The sequence below is a fragment of the Homo sapiens genome, chromosome 15 (genome assembly GCF_000001405.40).
Source record: "Homo sapiens chromosome 15, GRCh38.p14 Primary Assembly".
Taxonomy (NCBI): Eukaryota; Metazoa; Chordata; class Mammalia; order Primates; family Hominidae; genus Homo; species Homo sapiens.
This window is the reverse complement of record NC_000015.10, coordinates 44,725,189-44,745,649: the sequence shown is the minus strand read 5'-3', so window position 1 is coordinate 44,745,649 and position 20,461 is coordinate 44,725,189. Positions and strand designations below refer to the sequence as shown.

General features: G+C 42.0%; 1 protein-coding gene and 1 pseudogene across 6 annotated transcripts in view, besides 3 other annotated features; both read right to left on the bottom strand.

Moving 5' to 3' along the window:
• Positions 1–9,122, bottom strand: part of TRIM69 (tripartite motif containing 69) — a 31,300-nt gene extending 22,178 nt beyond the window's left edge. For all 5 annotated transcript variants that reach the window (NM_182985.5, NM_001301144.2, NM_001301145.2 and 2 more), the window contains exon 1: positions 8,940–9,122. In NM_182985.5, the coding sequence (NP_892030.3) occupies positions 8,940–8,945 (6 nt within the window). In that variant the 5' untranslated portion in view covers positions 8,946–9,122. The remainder of the gene's footprint in view (positions 1–8,939) is intronic.
• RNF4BP (ring finger protein 4B, pseudogene) lies at positions 12,799–16,662 on the bottom strand (annotated as a pseudogene). Its single transcript, NR_125376.1, has 2 exons — positions 16,098–16,662; positions 12,799–14,287 (listed from the first exon to the last, which is right to left on the bottom strand). The product of NR_125376.1 is annotated as a ring finger protein 4B, pseudogene (transcript).
• Positions 15,768–16,753: an enhancer, noted in NCBI's record as "H3K27ac-H3K4me1 hESC enhancer chr15:45021095-45022080 (GRCh37/hg19 assembly coordinates)". NCBI's record gives its function as "activates a minimal SCP1, AML or CMV promoter by ChIP-STARR-seq in naive H9 embryonic stem cells {active_cell/tissue: H9 hESC(naive)}" and the evidence as "EXISTENCE:reporter gene assay evidence [ECO:0000049][PMID:30033119]".
• Positions 16,754–17,741: an enhancer, noted in NCBI's record as "H3K27ac-H3K4me1 hESC enhancer chr15:45020107-45021094 (GRCh37/hg19 assembly coordinates)". NCBI's record gives its function as "activates a minimal SCP1, AML or CMV promoter by ChIP-STARR-seq in naive H9 embryonic stem cells {active_cell/tissue: H9 hESC(naive)}" and the evidence as "EXISTENCE:reporter gene assay evidence [ECO:0000049][PMID:30033119]".
• Positions 18,765–19,059: an enhancer, noted in NCBI's record as "tiled region #1044; HepG2 Activating DNase unmatched - State 1:Tss, and K562 Activating DNase unmatched - State 5:Enh". NCBI's record gives its function as "activates a minimal TATA promoter and a strong SV40 promoter by Sharpr-MPRA in HepG2 and K562 cells {active_cell/tissue: HepG2 | K562}" and the evidence as "EXISTENCE:reporter gene assay evidence [ECO:0000049][PMID:27701403]".

Sequence of the window (20,461 nt, the reverse complement as noted above, 5' to 3'; positions counted from 1 at the left end):
TATTTGCAAATTGTTTCCTTTAGCTATTTGAGAATATTTAAAATAATTGATATAAAATCTTTGTCTAGTGAGTCCAATGTCTGAGCTTCCTCAGGAATAGTTTCTATTAATTTCCTTTTCTCCTGTCCATGGGCCATATGTTCTTATTTATTTATACTTGTTGAATATCCGATACTTTGACAAGTATAATGTGAAATCTCTGGAAATCAGAATCTTCCACCTTCTCTGGGGTTTTTTGTTACTTCTTGTTGTAGTTGTTTTGTTTAGTTAGTGACTTTTCTAAACAAATTTTGTAAAGTCTGTATTCTTCGTCACATGTAGCTACTGAATTCTGTCCCATGAACTTAGTAGTCATCTAATAGTTCAACAGAGATTTCCTTAAATGCCTAGAATCAACCCAAATCAAACAACAACAACAACAAAAACCTCCCAGTCTTTGTAAATGGGCTTCGTATATGTTGAGCATGCCTTCAACACACAGTTTACAACTTCCTTAGTCCTCAGTTCCTGCTTACACAGATCCTAAAAGTCACTCCGAGAAGAAAACTTGGGGTCTTTCTCAGGTTTTTTTTTTTTTTTTAGTATGCACTCAGTCCTGGGCATGCAGTTGGCCTTCTAGATTACCAGGAATATGTGGGTACTTTTCAAAGGGTATTCCCCAAAATAACTCTTTCCCCAGCCTTTCTTTCTCAGCTTTTTGGTTACTCTATTGTTTGCCCCAACTATTATGCCTTTCCCCAGGTGGCAGCAATAAAAACATTTGCTTTTAAATGTTTCCAAACTATACCTCCAGGGTAGCCATCTCATCTGTGAAAAAGTTCTGAGTTAAACAAACTAATGGCAAGCCTTTTATGTAATACTTCATGGAAGCACCAGACAGGTCAAAGCCACAGTTCTTTGGGAATAAGGTCCATGCTGCTCCCACTTGTACTATGTACCTGTAGTTGGAATGTCAGCTGTCTTTAAAACCACCACCAAGATGGGAAATGAGGAAAACCTGAGTAAGTTAAAGTGTTAAAAAGTTATTTTACAGAGATTCAAGGTTTTATTTAATTATTATTAAATATTTCCCTGGTTGCTGTAAGCTTTTGATTAGTTTCAAGTTTTAAAAAACTCGATCTTCAAAATTTTTGCCAGTTTTTGTGGAGGGATGGACTTTGGGACTTCTCTACTCCACCATTTTTTTTATTATTATTATACTTTAAGTTTTAGGGTACATGTGCACAATGTGCAGGTTAGTTACATATGTATACATGTGCCATGTTGGTGTGCTGCACCCATTAACTCATCATTTAGCATTAGGTATATCTCCTAATGCTATCCCTCCCCCCTCCCCCCACCCCACAACAGTCCCCAGAGTGTGATGTTCCCCTTCCTGTGTCCATGTGTTCTCAGTGTTCAATTCCCACCTATGAGTGAGAACATGCAGTGTTTGGTTTTTTGTCCTTGCAATAGTTTACTGAGAATGATGATTTCCAATTTCATCCATGTCCCTAAAAAGGACATGAACTCATCATTTTTTATGGCTGCATAGTATTCCATGGTGTATATGTGCCACATTTTCGTAATCCAGTCTATCATTGTTGGACATTTGGGTTGGTTCCAAGTCTTTGTTATTGTGAATAGTGCCACAATAAACATACATGTGCATGTGTCTTTATAGCAGCATGATTTATAGTCCTTTGGGTATATACCCTGTAATGGGATTGCTGGGTCAAATGGTATTTCTAGTTCTAGATCCCTGAGGAATCACCACACTGACTTCCACAATGGTTGAACTAGTTTACAGTCCCACCAACAGTGTAAAAGTGTTCCTATTTATCCACATCCTCTGTAGCACCTGTTGTTTCCTGACTTTTCAATGATGCCATTCTAACTGGTGTGAGATGGTATCTCATTGTGGTTTTGATTTGCATTTCTCTGATGGCCAGTGATGGTGAGAATTTTTTCATGTGATTTTGGCTGCATAAATGTCTTCTGAGAAGTGTCTGTTCATGTCCTTTGCCCACTTTTTGATGGGGTTGTTTTTTTCTTGTAAATTTGTTTGAGTTCATTGTAGATTCTGGATATTAGCCCTTTGTCAGATGAGTAGGTTGCGAAAATTTTCTCCCATTTTGTAGATTGCCTGTTCACTCTGATGGTAGTTTCTTTTGCTGTGCAGAAGCTCTTTAGTTTAATTAGATCGCATTTGTCAATTTTGGCTTTTGTTGCCCTTGCTTTTGGTGTTTTAGACATGAAGTCCTTGCCCATGCCTATGTCCTGAATGGTAATGCCTAGGTTTTCTTCTAGGGTTTTTATGGTTTTAGGTCTAATGTTTAAGTCTTTAATCAGTCTTGAATTAATTTTTGTATAAGGTGTAGGGAAGGGATCCAGTTCCAGCTTTCTACATATGGCTAGCCAGTTTTCCCAGCACCATTTATGAAATAGGGAATCCTTTCCCCATTGCTTGTTTTTCTCAGGTTTCCAAAGGTTAGATAGTTGTAGATATGCGGCATTATTTCTGAGGGCTCTGTTCTGTTCCATTGATCTCTATCTCTGTTTTGGTACCAGTACCATGCTGTTTTGGTTACTGTAGCCTTGTAGTATAGTTTGAAGTCAGGTAGCATGATGCCTCTAGCTTTGTTCTTTTGGCTTAGGATTGACTTGGCGATGCGGGCTCTTTTTTGGTTCCATATGAACTTTAAAGTAGTTTTTTCCAATTCTGTGAAGAAAGTCATTGGTAGCTTGATGGGGATGGCATTGAATCTATAAATTACCTTGGGCAGTATGGCCATTTTCACGATACTGATTCTTCCTATCCATGAGCGTGGAATGTTCTTCCATTTGTTTGTGTCCTCTTTTATTTCATTGAGCAGTGGTTTGTAGTTCTCCTTGAAGAGGTCATTCACGTCCCTTGTAAGTTGGATTCCTAGGTATTTTATTCTCTTTGAAGCAATTGTGAATGGGAGTTCACTCATGATTTGGCTCTCTGTTTGTTATTGGTGTATAAGAATGCTTGTGATTTTTGTACATTGATTTTGTGTCCTGAGACTTTGCTGAAGTTGCTTATCAGCTTAAGGAGATTTTAGGCTGAGACAATGGGGTTTTCTAGATATACAATCATGTCATCTGCAAACAGGGACAATTTGACTTCCTCTTTTCCTAATTGAATACCCTTTATTTCCTTCTCCTGCCTAATTGCCCTAGCCAGAACTTTCAACACTATGTTGAATAGGAGTGGTGAGAGAGGGCATCCCTGTCTTGTGCCAGTTTTCAAAGGGAATGCTTCCAGTTTTTGCCCATTCAGTATGATATTGGCTGTGGGTTTGTCATAGATAGCTCTTATTATTTTGAGATACATCCCATCAATACCTAATTTATTGAGAGTTTTTAGCATGAAGCGTTGTTGAATTTTGTCAAAGGCCTTTTCTGCATCTATTGAGATAATCATGTGGTTTTTGTCTTTGGTTCTGTTTATATGCTGGATTACATTTATTGATTTGCGTATATTGAACCAGCCTTGCATCCCAGGGATGAAGCCCACTTGATCATGGTGGATAAGCTTTTTGATGTGCTGCTGGATTCAGTTTGCCAGTATTTTATTGAGGATTTTTGCATCAATGTTCATCAAGGATATTGGTCTAAAATTCTCTCTTTTGGTTGTGTCTCTGCCCGGCTTTGGTATAAGGATAATGCTGGCCTCATAAAATGAGTTAGGGAGGATTCCCTCTTTTTCTGTTGATTGGAATAGCTTCAGAAGGAATGGTACCAGTTCCTCCTTGTACCTCTGGTAGAATTCGGCTGTGAATCCATCTGGTCCTGGACTCTTTTTGGTTGGTAAGCTATTGATTATTGCCACAATTTCGGAGCCTGTTATTGGTCTATTCAGAGATTCAACTTCTTCCTGGTTTAGTCTTGGGAGGGTGTATGTGTCGAAGAATTTATCCATTTCTTCTAGATTTTCTAGTTTATTTGCATAGAGGTGTTTGTAGTATTCTCTGATGGTAGTTTGTATTTCTGTGGGATCAGTGGTGATATCCCCTTTATCATTCTTTATTGCTTCTATTTGATTCTTCTCTCTTTTCTTCTTTATTAGTCTTGCTAGCAGTCTATCAATTTTGTTGATCCTTTCAAAAAACCAGCTCCTGGATTCATTAACTTTTTGAAGGGTTTATTGTGTCTCTTTTTCCTTCAGTTCTGCTCTGATTTTAGTTATTTCTTGCCTTCTGCTAGCTTTTGAATGTGTTTGCTCTTGCTTTTCTAGTTCTTTTAATTGTGATGTTAGGGTGTCAATTTCGGATCTTTCCTGCTTTCTCTTGTGGGCATTTAGTGCTATAAATTTCCCTCTACACACTGCTTTGAATGTGTCCCAGAGATTCTGGTATGTTGTGTCTTTGTTCTCATTGGTTTCAAAGAACATCTTTATTTCTGCCTTCATTTTGTTAGGTACCCAGTAGTCATTCAGGAGCAGGTTGTTCAGTTTCCATGTAGTTGAGCGGTTTTGAGTGAGTTTCTTAATCCTGAGTTCTAGTTTGATTGCACTGTGGTCTGAGAGACAGTTTGTTATAATTTCTGTTCTTTTACATTTGCTGAGGAGAGCTTTACTTCCAACTATGTGGTCAATTTTGGAATAGGTGTGGTGTGGTGCTGAAAAAAATGTATATTCTGTTGATTTAGGGTGGAGAGTTCTGTAGATGTCTATTAGGTCCGCTTGGTGCAGAGCTGAGTTCAATTCCTGGGTATCCTTGTTAACTTTCTGTCTCGTTGATCTGCCTAATGTTGGCAGTGGGGTGTTAAAATCTCCCATTATTATTGTGTGGGAGTCTAAGTCTCTTTGTAGGTCACTCAGGACTTGCTTTATGAATCTGGGTGCTCCTGTATTGGGTGCATATATATTTAGGATAGTTAGCTCTTCTTGTTGAATTGATCCCTTTACCATTATGTAATGGCCTTCTTTGTCTCTTTTGATCTTTGTTGGTTTAAAGTCTGTTTTATCAGAGACTAGGATTGCAACCCCTGCCTTTTTTTGTTTTCCATTGGCTTGGTAGATCTTCCTCCATCCTTTCATTTTGAGCCTATGTGTGTCTCTGCATGTGAGATGGGTTTCCTGAATACAGCAAGCTCCATCAGCTCCTTTAAGCACTTCTCTGTATTGGTTATTCTAGTTATACATTCATCTAAATTCTTTTCAAAGTTTTTAACTTCTTTGCCTTTGGTTTGAATTTCCTCCTGTAGCTCGGAGTAGTTGGATCATCTGAAGCCTTCTTCTCTCAACTTGTCAAAGTCATTCTCCATCCAGCTTTGTTTTGTTGCTGGTGAGGAACTGCGTTCCTTTGGAGGAAGAGAGGCGCTCTGCTTTTTAGAGTTTCCAGTTTTCCTGCTCTGTTTTTTCCCCATCTTTGCGGTTTTATCTACTTTTGGTCTTTGACGATGGTGATGTACAGATGGGTTTTTGGTATGGATGTCCTTTCTGTTTGTTAGTTTTCCTTCTAACAGACAGGACCCTCAGCTGCAGGTCTATTGGAGTTTGCTAGAGGTCCACTCCAGACCCTGTTTGCCTGGGTATCAGCAGCGGTGGCTGCAGAACAGTGGATTTTCGTGAACCGCGAATGCTGCTGTCGATCATTCCTCTGGAAGTTTTGTCTCAGAGGAGTACCCGGCCATGTGAGGTGTCAGTCTGCCCCTACTTGGGGGTGCCTCCCAGTTAGGCTGCTAGGGGGTCAGGGGTCAGGGACCCACTTGAGGAGGCAGTCTGCCCATTCTCAGATCTCCAGCTGCGTGCTGGGAGAACCACTGCTCTCTTCAAAGCTGTCAGACAGGGACATTTAAGTCTGCAGAGGTTACTGATGTCTTTTTGTTTGTCTGTGCCCTGCCCCCAGAGGTGGAGCCTACAGAGGCAGGCAGGCCTCCTTGAGCTGTGGTGGGCTCCACCCAGTTCGAGCTTCCCGGCTGCTTTGTTTACCTAAGCAAGCCTGGGCAATGGTGGGCGCCCCTCCCACAGCCTCGCTGCCGCCTTGCAGTTTGATCTCAGACTGCTGTGCTAGCAATCAGCGAGACTCCATGGGCGTAGGGCCCTCCGAGCCAGGTGCAGGATATAATCTCCTGGTGCACCGTTCTTTAAGCCCGTCGGAAAAGCACAGTATTAGGGTGGGAGTGACCCAATTTTCCAGGTGCCGTCTGTCACCCCTTTCTTTGACTAGGAAAGGGACCTCCCTGACCCCTTGCGCTTCCCGAGTGAGGCAATGCCTCGCCCTGCTTCGGCTCACGCACGGTGCGCTGCACCCACTGTCCTGCGCCCACTGTCTGGCACTCCCTAGTGAGATGAAACTGGTACCTCAGATGGAAATGCAGAAATCACCCGTCTTCTGCATCGCTCACGCTGGGAGCTGTAGACCAGAGCTGTTCCTATTCAGCCATCTTGGCTGCCCCCTCCGTGTGTTTTTAAAGTATGTTTAAAATATATAGCGGTTACCAAGGCAGGGCAAAGAGGAACGGGAAGTGACTGATAATGGGTATGGAATTTCTTTTGGGGATAATGAAAATGTTCTGGAATTAGATAGTGGTGATAATTGTACAACTTTGTGAATATGCTATAAATCACTGAATTGTAAACTTCAAAAGGGTGAGTTATATGATATGAAAATATATTTAATGTTATTAATTATTGATATTATATGATTGACTGGTTTTATATGGTTAATTCATCTTGCTAGCTGAGGGTTTGCCAATTCCCCTGACTTTCAATAATATATCCTTTTCTGTAAAACAAGGGATTAATTATATTAGCTAATATTTACTGAGCATTCACTGTGGAAGAGGATTTACATACATTATTTCATTTAATCTCAGAACAACCCTATGAAATACGTATTATTACTACATATTTTAAGGAAACTGAAGCTCAGATTGCTTCAAGTATCTTCCCAGAGTCACAATTATTAAGTAGTGGGTCTCAGATTTGAACTCTTTATTTGACCCCAAAGCCTATTAACCACTGAGTCAGCAGAGAGCCCATCAATATGTTTTGTGGAATTGAATTTATTAAATGGATCAAATTTGTGAAGCAAAATATCTGCAATAACTTCCTACTGCTCTAGAGGGAGCTATAGAATTGGAAACCAAATGAGAGTCTAAAATTTCTGGACCTGGAAATCTTTTAGGAAACACATCTACTGCCAGCCCCTTTTAGGGGAAGAAGTCTAACCTTAAGGCAGAGAGAGAGAAACTCGAGTCAGGAATTGATATTCATCCTTATAAAGCCCTGGCTGGCAGGAATCACTTTATAAGAAAGCACATCAGCAGGTCACGATGGCCCAGGCCTGTAATCTTAGCCTCACTTTGGGAGGCTGAGGCAGGAGGATCACCTGAGGTCAGGAGTTGGAGACAAGCCTGGGTAACATGGTGAGACCTCATCTCTACTAAAAAAAAAAATAATAATACAAAAATTAGCCAGGCGTGGTGGTGCGTCCCTGCAGTCCCAGCTATTTGGGATGCTGAGGCATGAGAATCACTTGAACCCTGGAAGCGGAGGTTGCAGTGAGCTGAGATGGTGCCACTGCACTCCAGCCTGAGCAAGAGAGTGAGACTCTGTCCTAAAAAAAAAAAAAAAAAAAAAAGAAAGAAAGAAAGTATGTATCTTCCTCCTTCAGTTCACTGTGCACATTCTCAAAGAGCAGAGAAAAGGCAAAGAGCTATGAAGTCCATGGAAGCTTGCATAAGAAATCCTTAATTTTTACCAGAGATTTTTTTTTCCTGAGAAGTTTTGTGTTGTAAATTTTTGAAATCATAGTTAAGATATCTAAGGAGAGTTCATTTGTTGCTTTTCAACCTTTATTCCTTCAAAGTAATTTTTAAACTTTGATGGGCAGTTTTTATGAAGAATTAACTTTGAGAGCAGAAAAATACAGTTCATCCACAGAGACAAACTATATAGCACAGCCAGCTTAAACCTAAGAGCAAGACACACTCCTGCTTCACGAGTCAAGCCATTTGCACATAAGAAGGCAAGATTCTGAACTTTCTGACTTCTTGGAGCTTCCCAGAGTTGAAAGAAATTTTAAGCCATTTAATTCACTCCTTTCCAACCTCTGCCTGAACATCTGAAGTAATGGGAAACTCACTATCACACAAACAATTTTTTTACTATTATGGAAAAGTGTCTATTTTCACTGACTTGGCCTTAAAGTAATAAGAATATAGTAGGTTTAGGCAATAGTGTTTATTTTTGCCCTAGAAATTATAAACAAAATGCTTATAGCCCTGTTTGCTTCAATAGCTAAGCACAGAGATGAGTAGCAGCAAACCTAAAGGTCCTATGATAGAGGAAATTAGAAACTGATCTTAATGATTAATATAATGAAATTAAACTTTATAAGAAGTGGAAACTAGTGGAAATGGATGATAACTCAGGATTCAAGGGCCCCTGAAAAACCCTTAGTGAGTTTTTCAAGCTTTCATGTAGTAAATAACCATTTTCTTTTGTTTGACAATCAGGAAAACACTAAGTTCAGAAGAACATAACTTCCTTTATTTTAGCTCTGAAGAGGTCTTAAAGGAAGAATTCAATTAAAAATGTTTACTATCTAAGTATCAACTCTGCCTTAAATATAAAATAATCAAATGTGAAGGTATTGTAAGCAAACCAAGTTATACATAATAATTTTTAAATCTAAAATAAAATGATTACATTGATAATGAAAGTAAATTGTATATAGTATATAGTTTATTTTTTCTCAAAATGTTTTGGTGGATTTCATTACTTTCCTACCAGCTTCTCTAGTATAAATTATCAGTTATTCCAAGGCTTGGAGAGAGTATAGTAGCTACCAGCTGTCACAAGTTAAATACTTCCCTTCATGAATTTCCTTTTGTGCTCCTAAATCCATATCCTCTTCTATGATCCTGTTTTCCACACTATTCCTAGAAGCCCTGCTAAGTTAAAAAAAAAAAGGGTCACTCACCTCCATGAAGCTTCAGCCCACCAAGGGGCAGAGGCAGGCACTTGAATCAGAGCTCAGCAGGCCCAGGATGGCTGCAGACTGGGAGTCAGGGACCTTTTAGTTTTCAAGGAATGGGCTCAGAGCATGATGGAAGAAAGAAAAGTTCAGGAGCTGGAGAGAAGCAGCAAGGCCAGAGTGAGGTCTGGCAGATTCCGTGACAGTTTGTCAGTTAACTTTGATCATCATTTGCTTAAGAGAAAGAGAAACCCTCATTAGAATACCCTACCTGCCCAACTTTTCTTTTGTAGGAGACAAGGGCAGCTCATTTAGATTCGAGTTAGTGGTCTAATCTTAAGGTTCATAGCTCCCCATTTCTGGACTAAGGATGCTCTATGAAAGAGGAAATACACGTCAGCAGCAGCCTATATTAAGCCTAACTCATGAAAAATAACCACCTCACCCCTGTTCATGATCCCATCACACCATCAAGACACCAGCTGAGTGGCTTTAATAGAGAGCTAGTTCACCTCTCATATTCCAATGAAGCAGCCCTGATTTTATCTCTGAGACAGTAACACAGGCCTGGGAAACACCAGGCCCTAAGAAAGCAGGATGAAAAAAGCTTCATTTCATACAGCTTTCTTCAGCAGTTTTAGCTCGCAGAGAGATGTACCAACACTGTGCTCCTGAGTGACTTATAAAGAGCCACCACAGAGCCAAACAGTTTTTCTTACAGTAGTTCCTCTAACTCAATATGATTTCTTGCACGTCTAGCTCCTGCCTAGCTGTCCAGACTTAATGACCACAGCTCTTTCCCCAGTGTTTGGGATCGCCCAAATATGTCACGCTTCTGCAGCTTTGTATATGTTGTCCCTTCGGATGGGAGTTTCCCTTCCCCCACACCCCCGTCATTATCTCTTTACTAAACTCTTCCCTAACCACCCCCTCATCCCCAAACCAAGCTTTACCCACTTCCCTGTCTCTTGTAGAAGATATTTTGCTGGCTCTATACCAGAGGTTACCAACCTCAGCCCTATTGATATTTTGGGCCTGCTAAGTCTTACGTTAGAGGGGCTGTCCTGTGAATTTTAGGATATTTAGCAGTGTCCCTGGCGTTTACACACTAGATGCCTGTAGCCACCCCCCCCCCACCAAACCCAGTCATAACAAAAATGTCTCCAGTCATTGCCAAATGTCTCCTGGGGGCAGGGGTTGGAATCACTCCCCAGTTGAGAAACACAGCTTTACTCCCTTCCTTCCTTCCTTCCTTCCTTCCTTCCTTCCTTCCTTCTTTCCTTCCTTCCTTCCTTCCTTCCTTCTTTCCTCTTTCTTTTTTTCTTTCTCTTTCTTTCTTTCTCTCTCTTTCTGTTTTCTTTCTCCCTTTCTTTCTCTCTCTGTTTCTTTCTCTTTCTTCCTTTCTTTTTCCTCTTTCTTTCTCTCTTGCTCTCTTTCTTTCTTTCTCCCTTTCTTTCTCTTTCTCTTTCTTTCCTTCTTTTCTTTTCTTTTTTCTTTTCTTTCTGACAGGGTCTCACTATGTTGCCTAGGCTGATCTCAAATTTCTGAGCTCAAGCTGTCCTCCCACCTCAGCCTCACAAAGTGCTAGGATTACAGGTGTGAGCAACACCACGCCTGGCCTAGTTTTACACATTTCTATAGCACCCTAGATCTTTGTACACGTGGCTTTAACAGAGTGTATTCTAATTGTTTGATTGCATGTCTGCCCCTCCACTAAGTTGTGAACAAACCACAGGATAGGTAGTACTGTATCTTGCTCACCTTGGCAATACATGGCATTTGTTAGATCAAAACCTTTGTCAGATAAATGTCTATGAAATGCTGGTGATCACTTAGTCAAAAAAGTAATTTTGTTTCATCTTGATTGTTTTTGTTGTTGGCTAAAACATTTGACAATGCTTAGTATAGCTGATTTTACTAAAGCCAGCGCCTGCACATTTTTGAACCTTTAGCCTAGGGGTAAGAGTACTGGCCTAGAAGATGGAAGCCTTGTCTCTCACCACCAGAGCACTGAATAGCCTTAGCTAAGACATTTAACTCCTATGGGTGTCAGTTCCTCCTTCTTTAAAATGTGAATTCCTAAGACCCCCTTCTGTCTCTAGAAGCCTGTGATTCCAAATCCTATGTAGCAAGAAGTCTCAATCTTCACAAAGAGTACTTCAAGTCTTTTTTTCACTATTTAAAAACAGTGTCCAGGCATGGTGGCTCATGCCTGTAATCTCAGCACTTTGGGGGGCCAAGGTGGGAGGATCACCTGAGCCCAGGAGTTCAAGACCAGCCTGGGCAAGATGGCGAGACCCTGTCCCTACAAAAAATTTAAAAATTAGCCAGGCATGTTGGCACGTGCCTGTGGTGCCAGCTACTCAGGAGGCTGAGGTGGGAGGATCATTTGCGCCCAGGAGGTCGAGGCTGCAGTAAGCCATGATCATATCCCTGCACTCCAGCATGGTTGACAGAGTAAGACCTTGTCTCAAAAAATAAAAATAAAAAATAAAAAAATTCCATTGCTGTAAACGAGACCCAGAGTGATGGTTAATTTTGTATGTCAACCTGACTAATATACCCAGTATAAAAGTTGCTTAAGCAAGAATGAAATTTATTTCTCTCTTAAGTAAAAGTCCAAACTTCTATAGTGGCTCTGGTTTGCAAAGTTGTCAGTCTCCCAAATTCCTTCTCTCTACTTTGTTAACACAGAACTCACAACATCCATAAATTTGGAGAGGAGACTTTATTTCTTATAAAGCGTTAAAGGCCTGCAAGGTGGCCATCCCACAGGCCAGGAAGTACAATCTCTGGCAAAGACCAGAGACAGGCACTTCAAAGGAGGAGCAGGGGTAGGAACTTGATGCTGAATAGGTTGGCTAAACATACATATTCAACAGGTTACAGGAGGAGCTATGAATAATTATGAAGGTCATCCTGACTCATGCTTATTGAACAAACATGCATGTAACATACAACCCATGTTCACTTTGAGGTGGAGACTTAACTCTTTTTGTTGTTGTTATTGTTTGTTTTTTGTTTTTCGCGACGGAGTCTTACTCTGTCACCCAGACTGGAGTGCAGTGGCGCCATCTCAGCTCACTGCAATCTCTGCCTCTGAGGTTCAAATGATTCTCCTTCCTCAGTCTCCCAAGTAGCTGGGATTACAGGCGTGCACCACCACACTCAGCTAATTTTGTATTTTTAGTAGAGACGGGGTTTTGCCATGTTGGCCAGGCTGGTCTCAAACTCCTGACCTCAAGTGATTCACCCACCTCAGCCTCCCAAAGTGCTGGGATTACAGGCGTGAGCCACCACGCCAGGCCTAAGGTGGAGACTTAACACTTAAATGCATAACAATTAGACCCTATAAGTCAAAATGCCTGTTCAGGACAGGAAGGAACAAGGGTGCTTAGCCTCTATAAACTGGCCAGAACCAGCCCATAGTCAGTGGTCTTCTTATCAAGAGAAAGTGGCTGGGTGCGGTGGCTCACGCCTGTAATCCCAGCCCTTTGGGGGGCCGAGGCAGGCAGGTCACAAGGTCAGGAGATGGAGACCATCATGGCTAACACGGTGAAACCCCATCTCTACTAAAAATACAAAAAAATTAGCGGGGCGTGGTGGTGGGTGCCTGTAGTCCCAGCTACTTGGGAGGCTGAGGCAGGAGAATGGCATGAACCCAGAAGACAGAGCTCACAGTGAGCCGAGATCGGGCCACTGCACTGCAGCCTGGGCGACAGAGCAAGACTCTGACTCAAAAAAAAAAAAAAAAAAAAATTGCTTATCTCAGCTGGTGCTTGTTTAGCTGCTAAACAAAAAGAAAAACTGACAGGGCAGAACTCCGTCTCAAAAAATAAATAAATAAATAAATAAATAGAAAATCTTGTGGCAGTTAGAACATAGTTTATTCTTTAAGTGTAGGAGTGCATGACATAACACTTGCCTGGCATGACCTTAGATCTTACGAATAATTTGTTATTGCCACAAAGGGTCTATTCTGTCAGCCTTATGATCTTTATTTTGACATTAATGCTGGTCAGTTGTTGTGTCTAAACCATAAAAGAGACGGAGATATAATGAAGCGTGTCTGACCTCCCATCCCGTCATGGCCAGGAACTCAGTTTTAAGGTTTTTCTGGGGTCACTTTGGTCAAGAGGGGTTCCATTCAGTCAATTAGGGGGCTTAGGATTTTAGTTTACAACTTACTTCACCATCTCTAGGGTGTTGTCTTTATTTATGTGGTCCAGAATGTCCACATGTGGCCAACTAAAAATTGATGACTATAAGAAAGGGAAAGTTGCTTTAAGGACGACCCCAGTATCTGGCACACTCTGGCAACTGAAGTCCAGAGCTGAAGCATAAAACCAAAGGAAACAAAAAGCAGTCTCAGAGCATATGAGAAATCAAAGAGTTTCTTATATACTGCAGATAGCAATTTTAAAAATCAGTATTTTTAAGCTCAGAGCATTGGATGCCAACAACCCATAGTTCCTGCACAAAGACATGGAAAAATCCAGCCACAGGATCTGTCTTGAGCAATAAGGCATACATCATATATAACTGCAGTGATACTGATGGAGGCTGATTTTTTTCAAACAAACTGGGCAGTGTTAGTATGTGTAAAGGAAGTGCAGAAGCACTGACTACAGATGTGGCCACATTCTATAGAGTAGATGTGTTGTATACTAAGTTCAATCTCTGAGCATCCATCCATGCAAACTTGACACTGAATATAACCAGGTAGTATATGACAAAAAAAATTTTTTTGCAGGGAATTATGGTGGGCACTGTTGGTTATACATACATCTCTGTCCCTTTTCACTCCCTCCTCATCATTGTTCACCACACAACTGCCAGTGTGGTCTTGGAGTGGCCTTGTGTTTGCTCTTGGCCTCCTCCTTTGTTCAATAATCACTACAGAGTCACGGTGAGTTAGGTCAATCACTACAGGTGCTAGAGATTCACAGGTGAGGTCAACTACTTCATCACTTTCCCCAAGTTCTATCAGTTCTGCATCCAAGGCTATGTTAGGTGTTGGGCCTCCTTCTCTGGCTATAGGGAATGCTCAGGCTTGTCTGGAATTCACCATGCTGTCTCAGCTTATTATAGTATTCCATTGTGCTTTTTGGATTCAGTCTTAGAGAAGTAAATGATCTGTGCCAAGGTTTACAGCAGATATTAAAACTCTTCGATGTCTCACTGCTGTTGTTCAGTCACTCTCTGACTTATAAGAATTTAGAGGTCAGATTTCCCCACATATTTGAACCCTTATTCTGGGTCCAGTCCTGTCTTCACTTCCACAACTGCTGTGTTCCCACAGGGAGTGGATCTTCTGGGAGCCATTTGTAAGATAGTTCAATCTGAATTTTTAACTGAAAAAAAATGAGAGAAAAATTAAGCTTTAGTAATGTCTAAATCAAGACTGATAGTAGTGTATGTATAAAATGTATAGCTATATATAGAGAATGTATACAAAAAACTTTTTATAGTTATGCATTTGAACAAAATTTGGAGGCCACTGCTGTTGAAACTGAGTGCCCCTCCCTATTCTATGACCTGATGGTAGTGAGGAGGAGGAATCTAAGGGGCACTTACATGAAGAGAAGCACAATATCATTGAACACCCAAGAAAGGGTTACTACTTCAATTAAGAGCTTTCTCTTTCCTTTTTTTTTTTTTTGAGAAAGAGCCTCACTCTGTCACCCAGGCTGGAGTGCAGTGGTGCAATCTTGGCTCACTGCAACCTCCGTCTCCCCGGGGTTCAAGCAATGTTCATGCCTCAGCCTCCCATATAGCTGGAATTACAGGTGCATGGCACTACACCCGGCTAATTTTTGTATTTTTAGCAGAGATGGGGTTTTGCCATGTTGGTCAGGCTGATATCAAACTCCTGACCTCAGGTGATCTGCCTGCCTCGGTCTCCCAAAGTGCTGGGATCACAGGCATGAGCCACAGCGCTTGGCCCACTCACTCATTTTTTATAAAGTAAAAACGGGAGACCAAAAAATCTCCTTACATACTCCTAAAAGCAAATAAGAAATAAACCATTTACTCTACTTGCAGGTTCATCTTGCCCAGTGTTTTCTTTCTAACAGAGGCAACAAATGGAGTTCTGAAAAATTTATCCCAGATTGCCTTCTAGGAAAGAGAGGATGGAGTTCGAGCATTAGCCATAGAAAGGCTTGGTTTGGGTCTAGGCTCTGTGACTTTTGAGCATGTGACCTAGAAGTTAAGTTGTCAAAATCACAGCATGTAAATCTTTGTAAAAATTAATTAGCTTATAATTTTAAAATAATGCATAGTCATTAGGGAAATACAAATCAAAACCATAAAGAGATACCATTTCGTATCCACTAGAATGGTTATAATAAAAAAAGATTAAAAGTATTGGTGAGGATGTAGAAAAATTGGAACTCTCATACACAATGGTACATTCAGCTTTGGAGAACAGCCTAGTAGTTCCTTAAAAGATTAAACATAGAGTTACCATATCACCCAGCAATTCCACTCCTGCATATATACTCAAGAGAATTGAAAATCTATGTCCACACCAAAAATTTATACATGAATATTGATAACCACATTTTATTCTCAGTAGCCGAAGAGTGGAAACAATCCAAATGCCCATTAACTATAGATGGATAAACAAAACTTAGTATATCTATACAGTAGAGTAATATTCATCAATAAATAGGAATGAAGAACTGATCCTTGCTACAATATGACGACCTTTGAAAACAGAAGCCAGTTACAAAAGACCACATATTATATGTTTCTGTTTCTATGAAATACTAATAGGCAAACCCATAGAGACAGAAAGATTGGTGGTTTCCTAGGACTAGGGGTTTGGGAGAAATGGGAGTGACACCGAACTGGTACAAAATTTCTTTTGGGAGTGACGAAAATGTCCTAAAATTGAGGTGGTTACACAACCCTGTGAATATACTAAAACCCACTGAAATGTACACTTAAATATGTTAATTGTATGGTTTGTGAACTATATCTCAATAAACAAAGATGTAAGCTGCCAAAAATGTTACACAATACAATAGGACACGAACTGGATTTAGATCGGCAAACCGTAGAACCTAGTGAGGAAATGAGAAGCCCAGCAGGAAAACGGGCGGACCCCAGAGAAGGGCTTAGGGCTCTGCGCTCCCCTGCATGCACCGGCCTACTTACCGAGATGGTACTTCTCTTGGGCCCCACAGACACCTGCTTCTCCCCGGATCGCTATTCTCGACTATTTGCGTTTCGCGACCGGCCTGCCCCTCCTCTTTCCCGCTCTGCCCAGGAAAAGCGAGCCCTCGGAAGGAACCTGGGCAGCCCCAGAAAGCAGTGCCCATCACTTTCCAGCTCCATCCACCCAGCAGCCCATCAATGACCTAAATATGCTGTCTGTTCCACCCAGTCCTGCCCGGTAGTTATTCAGCGATGAGAGAGTAGGAAGCTTGAGCTCCAGGAGTGTGCCACTTTCCCGGCCCTCCGTGGCTTCCCAGTCCCGGACAGAGACCTGAGCAAGCCGAACCCGGGTGCCTGGCTGCACTGGGCTGGGAAGGAGGACCGGGCGGCCGCAGGCCAGGGAGGGCAATTGGAGAGAGATAGAAGCAGAGGGAGGGGGAGGCAGAGGAGAAGGTACTCGACGATGGACGCGCCCAGGCTGGGGGCGGCGCCCACAGAGCAGAGCCAAGGTCACGAAGCAGAGCGTCTGCGTGCAAACTCCCGGAACTGGATAGGCTAAAACACTAGCTTGTCACCCTTTTAATTCGCTTTTACAGTTTCCGAACTGCCCAATCAAAACCCGAGCCCAGGGTCGCTCGTCACCGGTCTCTGGACAAAAAGCGCTGTTTCAGATTAGAAATCAGGACTTTCCCGTCCTGGTTTCTCTTTCTTCAAAGCCAGCTGCTTTCCGAGAAAGGGGAAGGGCAGGGTTGCTTCCCTCACCCCACCCCATGCAGTGATGAGATCAGCAACTTCCCACTCTCTAGATAAGTGATTCTCAGTGGTTGTTCCAATGAAGTCACTTGGAGTATTTATTAAGAGGCCGAGGGCCAGAGGTCGCAGTCCTCTGCAAGCACACTTAATGTATAAAAAAGCAGCCGGGCGCTGTGACTCACGCCTGTAATCCCAACACTTTGGGAGGCCGAGGTGGGCGGATCACTTGAGGTCAGGAGTTCTACATCAGCCTGGCCAACATGGTGAAACCCCTTCTCTACTAAAAATACAAAGATCAGCTGAGGGTGGTGGCGCGTGCCTGTAATCCCAGCTACTCAGGAGGCTGAGGCAGGAGGATCGCTTGAACCCAGGAGGTGGAGGTTGCAGTGAGCCCAGATCTCGCCACTTCACTCCAGCCTGGGCAACAGAGACTCCGTCCAAAAAAAAGCCTGCATATAATCTGGGCTTACAAGCACCAAGGACATGTAAGAAATGTGTTTTATATTTTTATATTTTTTTATTTTTTTATTTCTTGAGTATTTATTGACCATCTACTACCTCAGGCTCATATACACTGAATTTTCCAGGAATATAACTACCAGGTAACTCAAAGGAAGATGTATGTTGGTTTTTTATTTTTGGAGTTTTACCTAGAGATTTTCGCCATTTTAGAAAATTACACCAGAACCTGCAATACCATACTTGAATCTGAGCCATCAATCCAGCGTGCCTCTCAGTCTTCCATGCCGCTGGTTCACAGAGATCCTAGGCAGTTGCAAGTGTCTGGCACTTCTTTATACCAGCAGTGCAGCCAAGCTAGAGCATTCACAAGCTAAATTACTTAATTTTCATGATCATATTAGTAAAAGAATCACCACAAAACAATTGTTATAAAAAGGGGTTGTTGGGGGAAAGGGAGCTGTTGAATATGATTGGGGTTGAAACCTCTAATCCACACTGCAATCCTGGGGACGGTGCCCACCTCAGTCTGCCAAGCCTGAGCTTGGATACTGAGTTTCTATCCTAGAAATCTGTCAGATAAGGCTCCATTACATAAATGACTTGGTTGCTGCATCGTCACTAGGAACCCTTCATTCTCTTCACCTTTCCTGGCCTCAGTAAAAAAAAAATACACCTTCATTCTGGAAAACCCCTATGCTGCCAGAAAAGAGTTCTACCTGTAGGCCTACCTTTGGAGGAACTGTCCAGAATGAGTCAGGGCCATCTTGTTACTGAAAGCCTTTTAGGGAAAGGGATTCTCCCGTAGTTTCTTCTTTCATCAGATTAGTGCCAAGAAGTTTTCCATTGTACAAAATGAGTATCCTTAATCCAAAAATCTGAAATCCTAAATGCTCCAACATCTCAAACTTTTTGAGCACCAACATGATGCTCAAAGGAAAGGGTCACTGGGGCATTTTGGATTTTAGATTTTCACATTAGAGATGCTCAACTGATAATTAACAAATATTCCAAAAATCAAAAAAAAATCCAAAATTTAAAACACTTCTGGTGCCAGGCTTTTCGGATAAGGGATACTCAACCTGTATCTCCCTGCTGTGGTAATTTGCTCTAATGAGCTGTGAAAATAAAGAACCACTGGAAGTAAAAGCAGTTGCCTGGAGTCTTGCATCTTAGAGAGCCCTTCTCATTGCCATCCCCTTCTCAGAACCACCCTAAAAAGAGTGCCCGGCACAAAGTAGACACTCCATATTTATTTAACAAATGACTAAGTGAATAAATAAGTAAATTTATGATATAGGAATAATTATCCCATTTTATGGATATGGTGACAAAGGGTCAAGTCAGCAATATGACTCTTTTCCAATTTCTTTTGTGGAATTAGGATTCAAACTCAGGTCTGAGTCCAATATCATACACACTGTAATGCTATCCCCTTAGAAACTTTGAACTTGTAATGGAAGTTTGGGGTTGCATGTGTTATGGGCCCAGCAGAGGATGTTGACAGGAAACATGACTCACCCAGATCTGGCTTTATAAGCCAGTCCTCAGCTTTTGCATAGTTTGCTGCTAACAGCTAGCATCTGCAATTACCCTCAGTCCTGCAGATTACCCTCAGACACTGGAGGGAGCCGGAAGTACCTCGGAGTTTTATGTTTCACCTCGTTCCACAACCCTGGATAGCCAAAGACAGGCTGATGAAGAGCACCAAAGCCCAGCTCCTTTGTGTTGAGGCAGGAAAAACTCTGAGGTGTGTTCTTTGTTCTAAAGCTTCCCGTGTGATCAGGCTGAGTGTAGGACTTCGGAAATCATGCTCTCGCTTGGCTTCTTCCCATTCCCTGTCCTTCATCCCCCACTCCTTTACTGTTCTTTTCCTAGGAGCCCCCCACTTTTTTTTTTTTGAAACAGAGTTTCACTCTTCTTGCCCGGGCTGGAGTGCAATGGCACGGTCTCGAAGAGCCCTTTCTTAACAAGTCATTTGCATCCAAATCTTTGGCTCAGGGCCTGCTTTTGCAAGACTCCACCTAAGACACTCGCTGACTCTTCAGATGATGAAAATGGCATGCACACTTGCAGACAGCTAAGGATTCTGTCTTCGTCTTTCTGTTGCTATAGCAGAATACCTGAGATCAGGTAATATACAAAAAAAAGAGGCCAGGTGAGGTGGCTCATGCCTGTAATCCCATCTTTTTGGGAGGCCGAAGACTGGAGGATCTCTTGAGGCCAGGAGTTTGAGACCAGCCTTGGCAACATAGTAAGAATCTGTCTCTACAAAAAGTTTTTAAAAACTAGCGATGCGGCCGGGCGCAGTGGTTCATGCCTGTAATCCCAGCACTTTGGGAGGCCAAGATGGGTGGATCATGAGGTCAGGAGATCGAGACCATCCTGGCTAACACGGTGAAACCCTGTCTCTACTAAAAATACAAAAAATTAACCTGGCGTGGTGGCAGGCACCTGTAGTCCCAGCTACTTGGGAGGCTGAGGCAGGAGAATGGTGTGAACCCAGGAGGCAGAGGTTGCAGTGAGCCGAGATCGCACCACTGCACTCCAGCCTGGGTGACCTAGCAAGACTCCATCTCAAAAAAAAAAAAAAAAATTAGTGATGCATGGGGGTGTGCATCTGTAAGCCCCGCTACTCAGGATGCTGAAGCAGCAGGATCACTTGAGCCCAAGAGTTTGAGGCTGCAATGGCACAATGGCAGAGCAAGATCCTATCTCAAAAAAAAGAAAGGAAGAAAAATGTATGGAAGAGGCTGAGAAGTTCAACATTGAGGGGCTGTATCTGGTTTGCTTTGGGTGAGGGCTTTGTTCCGCATCATAACATGGGTAAAGATATCAGAGAGGCATCATAACATGGCTAAAGATAAAGATTTAGAGGGGCACAAGAGAAAGAGCGAAACTGGCTTTTATAACAGACCCATTCTCAGGATAACCCATTAATCCATTAATCCATTCATGAAGGAGCCCTCATGACCCAGTCACCTCTTAAATGCCCTACTTCTTAATACTGTTATATTGAGGATTAACTTTCTTTTCTTTGCCTCATTATTTTTTATTTTTTAATTTAATTTATTTTAGATAGATAGATAGATAGATAGATACATAGATACATAGATACATAGATACATAGATAGACAGATATGAGGTCTCAC